General features: G+C 46.9%; 1 protein-coding gene across 4 annotated transcripts in view; it reads left to right on the plus strand.

Annotated features, from left to right (window-relative positions):
- The window catches only part of MINAR1 (membrane integral NOTCH2 associated receptor 1), a 60,905-nt gene that overhangs the window by 17,282 nt on the left and 28,020 nt on the right, over positions 1-15,603 (plus strand). Inside the window, exon 1 of one of the 4 annotated variants that reach the window (NM_015206.3) lies at positions 3,655-3,859. The exons of 2 other annotated variants lie outside the window; for them this stretch is intronic. The gene's annotated coding sequence lies outside the window, so the exon portion shown is untranslated. Of the gene's footprint in view, positions 1-3,654; positions 3,860-7,341; positions 8,593-15,603 lie in introns of those variants that run through there. One more of the 4 variants, XM_011521395.3, reaches the window with a different exon arrangement.

Here is a 15,603-nt window from a genome sequence, read left to right on the forward strand (position 1 = left end):
GCTCAAGAGAGGTTAAGAAACTATCTCAAGTTTACCTAGATAGTAGGTGAGCTGGAGACAAAATCTTTATATAATGATGCTATATCCAGTGCCCTTTTCTAATAGTTCAATACATCTAAAATGTACCACAGGAGATCTGATTATGATGGATTAAAAAGTATTAATGTGTCAGTGGTCACAGTCTTCTCCCCTACCTCTATCACTAAAGAGAATTCTGATTTTGCCCACAGTTTTCCTTTCCCCTTCCCTCCCCTAAAGACAGGAGAGAGAAAATGCATAGCTCTACACAATGCAGAAAAGTAGAGAGGAGGTAGGAAAGGAGAGATGAAGAAAGATGTGTGTTATGTATTTAGAGAGAATTTGGGGGGCACTGGAGAAAGAGGAGCTTTAAAGCAGCTGAGATAAGAAGGGCTTAGAGAGAGAGGAGGATGTTAGTCTCTAAGAAGTTCAAATGAAGGATTTGATTAATGATACATTTCTCTTGGCTGCTGGACTATGTTTCATTGAATAGGACACTTATTGAGACTGGATCACATGGACCTCATCAATTTATTAGGTTTCATAATCAACCTCCGATCCTGTAAGATGGAAACCGTCCATGTTTCTGGGTTCAAATATTAAATTTAAGTAGAACCCTCCATTTAAATGCTAGAGGACCAAAACCAGGTCAAGTGATTTGTCCAAGTTCACATAGGTGGTTTATATCACTTATCAAATGTCTAAAACCATGTCTTCACATTCCAAACTCAAGGCTGTTTCTTTTACACCACATTGGGTTTTCACACCATTGCCAATGATATTATGAAGTGAAATTTCGGATCTGAGTGGGACACCACTAGAAACAGAGGAAAATGTGGAGGCTGGATAGTTTCTGGATGCTTATTCTATTCTTGTCTTCGTGATCTGGTGCACAGTCTCCCATCTCATCGTCAGTCTCTTTCTATTGCCCAGACCAAAACATTTTTTTAAACTACTTATCCTGGGAGGGTGGTGCCATGAATTCGCGTCATCCCCCAGCCCCTGCAAACTGAATGCCTTGGGTCCATAGATAAATGGTGAATATAATTTAGTATCACTCTGGTGCAGTGAGTAGTGCAGACAAATAACCTTCACTTTTCCCCAGGTGGGGAAGATGGGCTGTGCACAAAGATGTCCACTGTGCGTGTGTGCAACGGGAGAGGGAGTCCAAGTTCCAGCCTCTTCCCAGAGAGGGGGGCATAGGAGGAGACAGCACCTGGCTGAGGTGTTACTGTATCTGTGTCCACTTGGGGAGGGGTGAGTGGCCACAAGTGAGAGGAATACCTCCCAAGGCTTGAATGAGGGCTTCTGGGGCAGGCTTACAGAAATCAGTAGCCAGGAGGGGAAAAGGGCAACCACTTGAATCCTTTGTGTCTGTAAACACCACTAGCCAACTCTGGCTGGAACTGAGTAACTGTAGGATCAGAAAGCTCTAATCTGCATTTTCCTTTTATGCTGTTTCAAATTTTAAAAGTTGTTTTCCAAAAGGGTTATTTCAGAAAGAAATTAAATAAACCTCTAGCCGACCTCAGCTGAACTAAGGGAGGGAAAAGCAGATTTTTACTGAATCTGAGTTTCAGGAAGCTATGGTTTTTCCTTCTAGAATGTGGTCTCTGTGGTAGTATTTCATGAAGAAACAGGAGAAAAAACAGGAAAGAAGAACTCAAAGCAAAAGAAAAGGCAGATCCCACGCAGCTTCCTGTCCTAATTGTTCCATGTGGATTCAACTGTTCTCGGTTTTGGGAGAAATATATACTTGTTCAGGTCTCAAATAATCTGCCCCTGAACTCAAAGGACAATGAGGCCCCCAAACAGTCTTTAGCTATTACCAAACAGGCTTCTTACCCTGGGGACCCCCTTTACTCCTTAAGCTTATGCTCCCTTTTGCCACAAACAATATTGGGACCCAAAGACAGAGCCAGCACTACTTACAAATTTAAAATCACTAGGCAAGGTACAGTGAATCAAACAAACTTCACTCCTACTTTACATTTTCAAATCCGTTTGCCCTTACTAGAATAGGTTTGAACTTGCCTCACAATAAGGTAATAAAGGCAAATGGATTTTAAAAACTTGGGCAGAGAGGAGCTCTGGGAAAATCTAGTTGTCAACACGTATCACCCTGATAGGGCGTTATTTAAAGTATCCATTTATTAGCAAGTTCACTTTTGTTTGCTTGTTTTGTTTTTAAAAAACTTTTTATTAGGTAAAATTTGAACATGCACCAAAAAATAGAATCAGATAATGAATCTTGGGACTAGCTGCAAGTTCACTTTTAAAGCGTTGTTGCCACCCACATCCAGACAGCTGAGGGAGGCTGAGACTGAGATCTGCGTCCCCCCAGGGCCTTTGCTCCGATCACAGGTAGCAAATGTCAGGGAGAAGCTGGCCAGGGAAAAGCCGCCACAGCCCCCGAGAGGGCTCTGTCCCTGGGGAGGTATGCTCCTTAGCAGCTCTGTTCGGTAACTCGGTGGCAGGGAAGGAGGTGGGGTGGTGGGGGTGGGGGTGTTGCTTTCCTTTTGAAATGAGATTCCATGGCCCCGAAACTATGATTCCCTCCCTCACCCTTTTTGTTTGTGTTGTTCTTGTCTTGGGGATGCAAAGTGCTGTTAACGTGAGCTTCCCCAGCCACAGGGACAGGATCTGTCTAGATGGGGCCACCAGAGGCAGCTGCTGTGTTTCGGCTCCACTCCAGCACACAGGGTGACACGGAAGGCCTCCATTTCTGATCCATGTATCCAGTAAGCTTTTGGAAACCCATCCCAGTTTCGTGGGGTTTGGGGGTGTGTGAATGAGTGAGTATGTGTGTGTGTGTGGGGGGGGAGAGAAACAGGGAGGGGTGGTCACGTGACAGTCTTTCCAATCTGGATCCCAATTAAGCCGACACCAGCCAAAAGAAGAAATCAGTGAGTGAAGTGACCACTTGGCCCTGGCCTTGCAAACCACTGCAGAGTCCGAAGCCCCGAGTGCTCCCTGGGAAGAGGAGAGCCGAGGACACTCTTCGCCCCTGCTTGCCACTGGGGGCCGCAGTCACCTTCAGCATAGGGGAGTGGGGAGACGCGAACCCCGCGGGTGGCTCCGGGTGGTGGGCTCCCTCCAGCGCGCAGCTTCCGCTCGCTTTCCCCTCGGCGCTGCAGCCGCGACCTGGGACCGAACGGACACCGCCTTCCCGGGGCTCCGGCGGCGCTCTGACTCCCACTTTCCTCCGCCGCAGCCTCTGGCAGGGCACCCCCTTGGCGCGACGCCGCGCCCCTCCCCGGGACCGCCCCCTCGGTCCCCCAGGGTGCGCTCAGTTGCTGCCCGTGCGCCCCGCCAGCTTGAGCGCCCCGGGCGGGCGGCGGTGGAGAAGCCCAGCCCAGCTCTCCCCAGCCGCGTTCCCGGCCCGCGCTGCTCCCAGCCTGCAAGCCCATGACGTGGCGACGCCGACCGAGACACAAAGACCGAGGCTGAGACCGCCAGGGGTTGAGGGTGAGGCCGCGTCCCGGGGCCGCTGGAGCGCGGGCGTCATGCGAGACTGTCCCGGCTGCGCGCCGCCCCAGAGGAGTCCGAGCGCCCCCTTCAGCCGCGGCGCGCTGGCCCTGGCCGGGACTGCAGCCAGGTGGGCGCCGCGCGTGTGAGCGCCGCGCGTGTGAGCGCAGACCTGGACTCGGGCGGCGGAGGCGAAAGTCGCTCCATCCGCGGGGTGCAACCCTGGGCGCGGAATCCGGGCTGCCGGGTGACAGTGACCAGCTGACTCTGGAGCCTACCGGAGGCGCGGCATCGGAGGCCGTGCGGACCACTGCCGAACAGCCGCTGGAGACCCGCAGAGAAGGGCGGGCCCTGCGCCCGGGGCGCCTCGGAGGTAAGTTCGGAGAGCCCGGGCCGGGCGGAGGGCGGGAGCGCACGAGTGTGTGTGTGTGTGTGTGTGTTCGCGGTGTGCCCGCGGCTCGGTGCACACGCGCGCGGGTTGTAAAGTCAGGAGCTGCGGGAGCGCCTCCCTGCCTCGGCTTGGCCCCGGAGCATTGCGGGCCGCGGAGGTGTGGGGGCCCTTGTCGCTGCGCTCAGGGCAGCGGCGGAAAAGGTGTGTGCGGATGCGGGGCGGGGCCGCACCTGGTGGACAGAGCAGGGATTCGGGAAGAGAAGCCACGGAAGATGATCATGCAGTTTGGGGCAAGTTTTCCTGGTTGAGCATCGCTTCAGGAAACGGTGTTTTGAGGGTTAAATATGTGAGCTATCTGTGCAAAAAGCCTGACACATCAGAGGCGCGAAGTAAGATGGAAAGCTGGACAAGCCCCAGGTGGACCGACCGGTGCATCCAATTCTTAAATTGAGATTTCCAGTCACGTTGATGTGGAATGGGATCGTTGTTCTTCCCGAGGGTTTGATAAGGATGCTCAACTTCACCTGTCAGAAAGCACGGGAGCTGGGCCTGGCCCGCGGGGAGCGTAAGCTCGCTCACACGCGGTCCAACTCAGGCAAATGCAGCATGCCCGACCTGCTCTGCCGCCATCCCTCCGAAAGCGATAATTTCCTTGGGCTACCGAATCCATCAGAGTAGTCATTTGTCCCCTCGCCGGCGGTGCGGGGAGCGTAACATTTGAGTAGCCTAACTCTCACAGCGCGCACTCCAGCATTGTTTTGCTGGAAGATTGTTACTGTGGTAAGCGGCTGGTAGCCTGTGTTAAGCAGCAGGGAAGATAAGGTTGTGTTCAGGTGCGCTTAATTCAGCGGGAATTAAGTTATGTTTGGTGAAGATCTAAGGAGAGGAAAAATCCAGAGTTTCTGCTATAAACAATGTACATCTATCTTAAAGGCTTCTCACCCATTTCTCTTGTGGATGGAGCCATGTGGTTGGGAGGTGGTAGAACCATGCCGCCATCCCTGAGGCTGTGGTTGGAGGCCTCATTGCTGGGCTCTGCAATTTTATGCTCTGTGATATTATGCATGGCATGAAGAGTTGCTAGGAGGAGTGTGGAAGCAGCTTATGTGGCCAGTTATGCATCCTTTATTCCAGCAAACGAGCTGCCACTGCTACCTCTCTCTGATGGAGAGGGACGGTAAATGGCCCTTCCTTGTCATTTCTCAGACACCAGCATTACTGGGCCCGCCCTGCAGGTGGAAGCTAGCTCACTGCTGTGGCCACAGGATGTCTTTTGAATTGACCCTCATTGAGAGCCCGGCGGCAATATTTTGGGTATTGTTGAAATAAGAGAAGTGGATTAGAGAGAGTAGGATGCCTGGAGTTGTACAATACCCTTTAATGGGTTTTCCTCTTGTGTATCAGAGGAGGGTAGAGCAGGAGACGGTGGTGAGTCTGCAGAGAGGGCAAACTTAGAGATTTTCTCAGGCTACTGGAGCCTGGAGGGAAAAACCTTAAATGTCTGATAAATAAAGTCTGATTTTTATTGTGTGTGTCTGAGAGACTTGCATAGATCAGGGAGTATGTGAAAATAAATGTCAGTTGCCAGAGAAAGAATAGATCAAACAGTTTATTTGAATTTCTGATGAGTTTGGTGAGGAAGTGTATAGCACTTAACATTTGGAAGGCAGACAAAAGGTTTTGTTGTTGGTGTTATGTTCCTTTTGAATTTTAGATACATAATGCGATTTTTTTTCTGGCCAATGCTCCAGGCAAAATTGATGTCTTTCCACTTTCTAAAACCCATCATATTTATGAACTCTCTGATACTCTGTCTGAAACAGTCGTGCTCCTGTGAGGTTGAAATATCTCTCCTGCCTCTATTCACAGCAGACGCACAGAACTGATCTGGGAATTTTCTCACTCAGGATTCCCAAAATGAGCCCTTTCTCAAATCTTGACAAACGTGCAGCAGAAGCCATTGTTGCAGTTATGGCTCTGTGCCTGCTGGGCAGGGATTTAAAGGCCAGGAGAAGGCAGGGGAAGGCCCTGCTCTCTGCTCCAGCCAGGTGGTAATATGCATTCTCAAACTAGCTAGGAAAAGGTTCTAGATTCCTCAGTGAATCTATTGCTGAATCCCACTGATTAGCTTTTCCCACTGACAGACATTCAAATCTTTGTTTTTGGAGCTTCCTCTGCAGACTTGGTGTAAATTTCAAAAAAAGAAAAGAAGGCTATGAAGCTTAAGACAGGCAGAGACAGTTGGCTTCCTACCTAGGCATGCTTCAAACTCACTATATGACCTTGGTAAATTATGTAACTTTAATGCATGCTTGTTTTCACATGTGTAAAATGAGAGAGTATCAGACTAGATCATGGATTTGTTTCCCCTCTTTTTCCCCTTCTCTCTCGAAGAGTAGAACCCTTTAAATTAAATCTTTTATAAAAGGTAAGTGGCCGGGAGCTGTGGCCCATGCCTGTAATCCCAGCACTTTAGGAGGCCGAAGCGGGTGGATCACCTGAGGTCGGGAGTTCAAGACCAGCCTGACCAACATGGAGAAACCCTGTCTTTACTAAAAATACAAAAAATTAGCCAGGCATGGCGGTGCATGCCTGTAATCCCAGCTACTCGGGAGGCTGAGGTAGGAGAATCGCTTGAACCTGGGAGGCAGAGGTTGCGGTGAGCCGAGATCATGCCATTGCACTCCAGCCTGGGCAACAAGAACAAAAATCCGTCTCAAAAAAAAAAAAAAAATACGCAAAACAGATTAAGAGCAAGGGAGGGACATAGCAGCCAGTTCACTCTCAGTGTGGTGTCTGAAGAACCCTTTGGAACCCCTACAGGCTTTTCAGAATTCAGTTTGAGAATCACTGGAAGCTTCTCTCTGCAATATGGCATATTCCCTCTCTGAATGTTTCCAATGAAATGTTGTGGTCACCTAGCTCAGTGTTATAAATAGTCATGTACCTGTAACTGATCCTCCTGGATGGCTAGCTAAACCCCTACAATGTCAGCTCTGGGAGGACCATAACTTTTTCAGCCCTGGACCTTCTGAGTCTCACACAGTGCCTGGCATGTAAGTAGGTGCTTAGTGAATGCTTATTGAATGGATTAAGAAATGAAGAGGGAGTAAAGTTATTCTGGCAGACCAAAGACTGGTGGATGATACACTATGGTGGAAATCTTAGGAGAGCAGGGACTTTGATTTATTTGTTGCTATATCTCTAGTGCCTGGCACAGACAGATTTTGGCTTATTGTAGGAAGTCCTTTAAAATAATTAAAGTTAATACTGGGAATGGATTGCCCCAAGAGGGGATAGAAGCATATATATGGTGGCTATTAATTTTGTTCTTAAAGATTCTGGCTGTCTCTGCTTCTGGGCACATGGTAAGATTGCATTTTCCTGTTAATTTGAAATCAGGTATGGCCATGTGACTTGTTTGGCCAGAAAGTACATGAACCTTTAAGAGTCAGCAGGTGCCTCACCATGTTCTCCCTTTTCCTCTGTTTCAGTGGTAGTTAAGTCTCCAGAAAGTGGCTGCTCCTCCCTCAGCCTGGGTCTGGGATTGAGGATGATGTGGAGCAGAGCTTCTTGCTGACGCATAATGGACATGTAGCATTGATAATAAACAAACTGAAATCTGGGGATTATTTGTTGCTGCAGTGTAACCTAGCATACGTGACTGATGCAACATGTAAAGAACTTAGGATCATACTGGCTGCTGATCAGGATAGCAGTGTTATCCAGGAAGGCCAGTCCTTGCTGAGACAGGGCTTCATGGGGATCAGGACCTGTGTATGAGCACCACATCGTGGCATGCGGCTGTCATTTTGCCTGGTTGGAGAGCTTATTTGGTAATATACTCAGGTTAGTCTTTTAGAGAAGGAACATGAAAACCGAAAGTCTGATGCACTGGCTATAATATGCTGATTTCATAGTTTAGAGAGAAGCAAGTGAAGCTGATAAATGTGTTCAGTGATTGGACAGAATTGTCCATTAAAAGCCGGATAATAAACAGAAGGTGCTTTGTGAGCCAAGAATGAAAGCCAGGGGAGTTGGTGGAATGAATTGAATGACTGTGTCATAGGACTGTGACATGCCAATGTATCCTTCATTGTCCAAGTTAGAGAACTACCTGCTCAATAGACTCCATGCATACGCATGCATGTCATTTAATATTATCCTTAAAGCATGATTTATCGAACACAACTGTATGATTTTTCTGATGCTCTGAGCATTGTTCCATGCCCTTAGCCAATGGGAGCTCACATGACAGTTTTCTACTGACGTGGCCTGTGAGAACTTCATACTGCAAAAACTCTCAGCCAGTGAGCCCTCCACTGTCCCCAACTTCAGTGTCTTACTCAATATGTGTCCAATTCCCTGCACCCTTTCTTCCTGCCATTTACTTTGTGTCCTAGTGAACAATTTTGACCTTCAGTGGCTCATGTGATTACCCCATTGATCCCTCTTCAATAACACTGGGATCTTGAGGAGAGAAGTTTTATTCAGGAAGCTAAACATGCAAGTTTTAGGGTTACTAGAGGAGGCTTCAAGTAACTAACTAAGAAAACAAACAAACAAAGATCAACCAGTCACTAGGAACTGAAAGCTTTAGCATATCCTGGCAGCCTAAAAGACTGAACAGTGGTAAGGAGGCAAAATTTGGGAAACAACAAAAGGAGGCCTGTCTCAGCCATGGAAGTTGAAGAAGATGAAAGTCTTTTGGCTACGTGAGTGCAGAATGGGGAGGAGTGAGTAGGTGTGGGTATGGGTGGGTAGTGATTGGGTGTGAGTGAGTAGTGATTGAGTGTGGGTGGGATAGGTAGTGAGTGGATGTGGTGGGCAGTGATTGGGTGTGGGTGTGGGTGGATAGTGAGTGGGTGGGTAGTGAGTGAGTGTGGGTATAAGTGGTTGCTGAGTGGGTGTGGGTGGGTAGTGAGTAGGTGTGAGTGGGATAGGTTGTGAGTGGGTAGAGGTGTGGATAGGTAATGAGTGAATGTGGGTGGGGTGGTTAGTGAGTGGGTGTGGGTGTGGATGGGTAGTGAGTGCATGTGAATGTGGAGAGGTAATGAGTGAGTGTAGGTGTGAGTGGGTAGTGAGGGTGTGGGTGTGTGTAGGTAGTGTGTGGGGTGTGGGTGGCGTGGGTAGTGAGTGTGTGGGGTGTGGGTGTGGGTGGGTAGTGAGTGTGTGGGGTGTGGGTGTGTGTAGGTAGTGTGTGGGGTGTGAGTGGGGTGGGTAGTGTGTGGGGTGTGGGGTTGGCAGTGAGTGTGTGGGGCGTGGGTGTGTGTAGGGAGTGTGTGGGGTGTGGGTGGGTAGTGTGTGGGGTGTGGATGGGGTGGGTAGTGAGTGTGGAGTGTGGGGTGGGTAGTGAGTGTGTGGGGTGTGGATGGGGTGGTAGTGAGTGTGTGGGGTGTGGGTGGGGTGGGTAGTGAGTGGGGTGTGGATGGGGTGGGTAGTGAGTGTGTGGGGTGTGGGTGTGGGAGGGTAGTGTGTGGGGTGTGGATGGGGTGGGTAGTGAGTGTGTGGGGTGTGGATGGGGTGGGTAGTGAGTGTGTCGGGTGTGGGTGGGGTGGGTAGTGAGTGTGTGGGGTGTGGGGCTGGTAGTGTGTGGAGTGTGGGGTGGGTAGTGAGTGTGGGGTGTGGGTGTGTAGTGTGTGGGGTGTGGATGGGGTGGGTAGTGAGTGTGTGGGGTGTGGATGGGGTGGGTAGTGAGTGTGTGGGGTGTGGATGGGGTGGGTAGTGAGTGTGTGGGGTGTGGGGCTGGTAGTGTGTGGAGTGTGGGGTGGGTAGTGAGTGTGGGGTGTGGGTGTGTAGTGTGTGGGGTGTGGGTGTGAGTGGGTAGTGTGTGGGGTGTGGATGGGGTGGGTAGTGAGTGTGTGGAGTGTGGGGTGGGTAGTGAGTGTGTGGAGTGTGGGTGTGGGTGGGTAGTGTGTGGGGTGTGGGGTGGGTGGGTAGTGTGTGGGGTGTGGGGTGGGTGGGTAGTGTGTGGGGTGTGGGTGTGGGTGGGTAGTGAGTGTGTGGGGTGTGGATGGGGTGGGTAGTGAGTGTGTGGGGTGTGGGTGGGGTGGGTAGTGAGTGGGGTGTGGATGGGGTGGGTAGTGAGGGTGTGGGTGTGGGAGCATAGTGTGTGGGGTGTGGATGGGGTGGGTAGTGAGTGGGTTGTGGATGGGGTGGGTGGTGAGTGTGTGGGGTGTGGATGGGGTGGGTAGTGAGTGTGTGGGTTGTGGATGGGGTGGGTAGTGAGTGTGTCGGGTATGGGTGGGGTGGGTAGTGAGTGTGTGGGGTGTGGATGGGGTGGGTAGTGAGTGTGTGGGGTGTGGATGGGGTGGGTAGTGAGTGTGTCGGGTATGGGTGGGGTGGGTAGTGAGTGTGTGGGGTGTGGATGGGGTGGGTAGTGAGTGTGTGGGGTGTGGATGGGGTGGGTAGTGAGTGTGTCGGGTATGGGTGGGGTGGGTAGTGAGTGTGTGGGGTGTGGGTGTGGGAGAGTAGTGTATGGGGTGTGGATGGGGTGGGTAGTGAGTGTGTGGGGTGTTGATGGGGTGGGTAGTGTGTCGGGTATGGGTGGGGTGGGTAGTGAGTGTGTGGGGTGTGGATGGGGTGGGTAGTGAGTGTGTGGGGTGTGTGTGGGGTGGGTAGTGAGTGTGTGGAGTGTGGGGTGGGTAGTGAGTGTGTGGGGTGTGGGTGTGTGTAGGTTGTGGGGTGTGGGTGGGGTGGGTAGTGTGTGGGGTGTGGGGTGGATAGTGAGTGGGTGGGCGTGGGTGGGGTGGGTAGTGATGAGATGTGGGTGGGGTAGGCAGTGTGTGTGTGGGTAATGAGATGTGGGTGGGGTAGGCAGTGTGTGTGTGGGTGTGTGTGGGTAGTGATGAGATGTGGGTGGGGTAGGCAGTGTGTGTGGGTAGTGATGAGATGTGGGTGGAGTAGGCCATGAGTATGTGGGATATGGTGGCAGTCAGTCAGGGAATGTTCTCTGTGTTGTGTGGGACTGAGACGTGGGTAGATAGTGTCGGATGTGGGTTAAGGTAGGTAGTCTGTGGGCTGGGTGGTTGGCTGTGGGCTCCCACTGTTTGTGCCAATGACATCGGAGCGCTGACTGCCCTGTGCTATGACAGATGGTTTACTGCTGCTCCCCTTCCTCTAGCCTGTTGCCCCTGCAGGCATGGCCAGGGTCTCATTTATAGTTTTGTCCTGGTGAGGAGCACAGTGTCTGGCTCAGGTTGGGTGTTCCCTAGAGCTATTGGGTGAAAGACGGAAAGAACACGGTGATTCTGAAGACGCTCAGCAGGTACGGGAGAAGCCTGACTCTGTAGTCACAGCAGGAAGGAAAAAGTATTTGGTTATTTAGTTTTCCATAACCTCAGCCTGAGCCAACAGTATACTATGGCCACCAAAAAGATCCTTAGCTGAAATTATGGTGTCTAGAATGAGGAATGGAACTCCTGTTCTTTTCTGCACTTCAGGGGAAGGAGACACAATGTGAGAAATGCATGAGCCAATTGGAAATTATTTAAAGAACCATGGATCATTAGCCCCAAGGTGTGTCTAGTCCAGAATTTCCCAGTTAGCCGTCACTGCATCCACTATACCAGAACCTCCAGGGGACCTTATAAATGCATATTTCCAGGCCTCATCTGCTGAGTCAGAATCTCTGGGGTGAGGCCAGAGACTTGCTTTATCCCCCATATTTTACAAGGCTGTTGTGAGTTTCCCGCATAAGGAGAAGATCTGGGGTTTGGCTTGAGTTTTTGAGTCAAGAGACTGCACCTGGTAGCCTTCTCTCCATCAACCCAAAAGATGCAGGGAGCTGCAGCCAGGTCCTGAAGCAAATGGGAGAAATGGGATGTAAGACCCATCCTTAAATACTCGAAGAACTGCCCTTCGAAAGTGGATTTGGCTTCTGCATGTCCCTGGGGCAGGATGAGGACCAGTGGGTGCAATTGTGGAAGAGGCTGCCTTTGGGAAATTGTGAGTGTTCCCTGTCTTAGAAGCCATCATGCCCAGGCAGGCAAGAGCAAAGGCCCTGGGCTGGAAGCAGGACTGGCATGTTTGGTTGGTCATAAAAGTACTTCATAAAATCTGCTCTTCCGGTTCCCTCTGCCTGGGCTTTGCCTTCCCCTTCCCCCGCTCCTCCCCACCACCCAGGCAGGCACGTGGTTTGCTCCATTGCCTCCTTCAGGACCACATTCAAAGGTATCTTTCCCCTGCGCCTCCTCTGACCATCTTGTTTACAGTTGTAATACCTCCCCTTGTTCTTTCTAACCCCTTTTTCTGCTTTTCTCCATAGCACTTTCTACCATCTAATACACTCTAAATTTTACTTTTCTATTTCGCTTATTATCTGTCTCCCCCACTAGATTATAAGCTCATGAGGGCAGGGTTTTTGTTTTGTTCATTGTCTGCCTTACACCCTGCTGTATTGCCACCAGCTAAGACAGTGCCTGATGCATGCCAGTTACAAAAGAAACATTTTTGAATGAATAATATGGATGTCTCATTTGACCTTGTTAGTAACCTCAGGAAGAGGAATTGATATCTTCCTTTTATAGATAAGAAAATCAAAGATTAGAGATGATAATTTACTTTCTCAAATTCCCCTTGCCAGGATTTGCTTGCAAATCCTTTCTTCTTTATTTTTTATTATAAAATCACATATTTAGAACATTTAAATAAAACAGCCCTGAAATGAAAGGAAGAGAAAACCACCCAGAGACAATTATTATTAACATTTTAGTATTAATATATACAAAGAGTGAGTGTCTGTATAAAATTTTATGTCATAATACAACCAACCATTTAGTGGTATACTTTTTCACTTAAGAATACATCATTAAAAATTAAACATGCCAATAAATGTATTTCTGCACCATGACTTATTAATGGCTACATGGTATTCTATCATACGGATGCACTGCAATTTATAGAACCCAGTGTTGGCTACAAAGATTATTGCTAATTTTTTCTTATTTTAAGCAACATTAAAGAGAATATATTCATAAACTTTGTTTACATATATCTGATTATTTTCTTCAGATAAATACTTAGAAGTGTGGATTTGCTTCATTTCAAGGGTATGCGTATTTTTCAAGTTTTATTGTTGATTACTTCCTGTAAGTCACATACTTCTCCAGGAATACATGGGAGTGCCTATTTTCCCTCATTCTCCCCAACAGTGGTATGAGTATACTGATTATAGATACCATAACAAATATACTATATGCTGGTTATAAATAATATCAAAAACCCTTAATAATAGTCAGAACCCTTAGTCTTTAGTACTTTTCCACTTAGAAAGAAAACATTTTTATTTTCTTTAGATTTATAAATAAGTAATCAAACAAATTGCTGTTCTACTTTGCTTTATTTATGATGTTGCACATTTTTCTTTGCCTTCCTTTCTTTGTAAATTAACCATTTGTTTCTTTGAATTGTTCATTATTTCATATACATTTTTAAGAGCTTTCAATGAAATGCAAGAATTTTCTGCATTCTGTTTTTTCAAGGTTTTTTTACTTTTTTTTTTTACTGTTTTTTTTTTATGTTTACTGACATGGTAAGCAATTTTTATCTATCCAAACCTATCAGTTTTCATCTTAATTATTTCAATTTTGGGATCTTGTGTGGAAAACCCTTTCACTACCTCAAATTATCTAAATCTTGACTCGAATTTTCTGCTTTATATTTCATCTGTAATTTACTTTTGTCAATGGCAAGAAGTGGGGCTAACCTTTTACCAGTTGATTAACCAATTATTCCAGTAGTATTTTAACTAACAAAGTAACACATTTATGTTTATTGAATAAACCATTATTTTCTCATTGAGTTGAAAGGCCACCTTTAAAATATATTGACTGTTTATCTATATTTGGGTCTGCTACTTTCTATTCTGTTCCATTGATTTATCTGTCAAATTATAATAGGAACTTTGTATTAAGTTTTCATATTTGGCTATCCAAATAGATTTTTATTTTGACCAGAATTCTTAGATAATTAACTTAAAGCAAATAATTACTTAGTGTTACCTTTAACATGCATGGCCTTGCCCCATAAAAATGAAAAAAAAAAAAAAAAAACTTCCAACAAAACATAAACAATAGCAAAAAATCTGCCTGGTGAATTTTCTTTATGGTTACTGCCCATTTAGAGCCTTACTTATATAAATTTTCTTTTAGCTCTCTTTTTGGCAGGTCTCGGTAAAAGCAGATAAATTGGAACTTGTTTATCTAGTGTTTTTACCTTATTTAAAATTAGTACTTATTTTAAAAAATTAAGAAAAGTACATAAAATAACCCAGTAGACATCCATATACCAGTGAAATTAAACGGATGTTAAAGTTTTGTCATTTTTGCTTCAGTGTTTGTTTTTTGTTTGTTTTTAAAGAAAAGAATATGATATAGTTCAAGTCCCACCTGCCACTTGTTTTGTTTTAATCACCTGCTACTCCCTGCATTGGTGAGAGAGGATTTCCACTCTAAGGTTACCGAGATGACTGAACACTTGACACCAACACTGAGCAGATGAGATGGACAGTGATTTATTAATTGCCTGTACTCACAGGAGGGCAGGCGGAGGACACCACAGGCCACACAGGGCCACACGGGAGCTGCACTTAGAAACAGAGGGAACAAACGGGCTGTGGGAGGCAGGCTTTGCTGTATCAAAATGGTGAGGTGACCCCTGATTCCCACAAGAGGATGTGATTGGCTTGTTTGAATATTTCTGAGGGCTGGCAGGGAACCAGAAGCTGCCACTTGGGGTAAGTAGAATCTGTGCCTGGTCCCTTGATAAGAAGAGTGGTTTGACTAGGGTACCTTACCTGCAGGAGTAGAGAAACTTGCAGTTTGGCCATTCAAGGTCCTCCTGGTTTCACCAGGTGTCAGGGCAGCACATCATATTGGGCCTTAAATGTAGGCCTTATACCACATCTTTCCTGCCCCTCCCAGAAACCGCTATCCCAAACCTGGTATATTTCATTTCCATATAGATTTTTGCATTCTCCTTTTTATGTATACATCCCTAAATAATCTATTTGAGGTTTTTTTTCCAATTACATCAATGATATGATAGATCCATTCACAACTTTTTCCATGCATTCTTAAGTTTTTGAGGTTTATCTTCAAATTTATTGTAAGTAAATTCATTCATATTAGCTGTTGTATAATATAAACTATGTGGATAAACTCATTTATTCCCCCACATTATTTTACTATTCAAAAGTGTTTGATAACAGTTTTGTCTCCTTATGAACCTATGTGCATGCTTATCTAGGGTACCTCAAGGTAGATCTGGGGTGGCAATAGGTTTTGATTATCTTGAGCTTCAACTGTATTACCAAATTGCCCTCTAAAGTGATTCTGCCAATATTCATCCCCACCAGTAGCATATAAAAACTGTTGGCCTGCATATTCAGCAATCCTTGGTGTTATATTAAATAAAACTTCCAAAAAGTTGTCTATTGAATTTGTGGCTCTATCCCTGTTTTCATCCCTAATTTTGTGAAGTGCTGTATAATGTGATGTGTAACGTGAGCTCTAGACTTAGAGTGTATAGTTAAGGCCCGGGTTCACACATGCCTTAGGCTGTGTGGCCTTTGACAAGTTACGGACCTGCTCTGTGCTGGAGAAAATTCAGCCATAAAATTAGTATCATATTAGTTCCTATTTTGTAAGGTGATTTTGAGGATTAAATAAGTTAATCATTATAAAGTGTTTAAAACCTTTCTGGCACATAGTAAAGTTCTCCATAAA

The sequence above is a fragment of the Homo sapiens genome, chromosome 15, assembly GCF_000001405.40.
Source record: "Homo sapiens chromosome 15, GRCh38.p14 Primary Assembly".
NCBI lineage: Eukaryota > Metazoa > Chordata > Mammalia > Primates > Hominidae > Homo > Homo sapiens.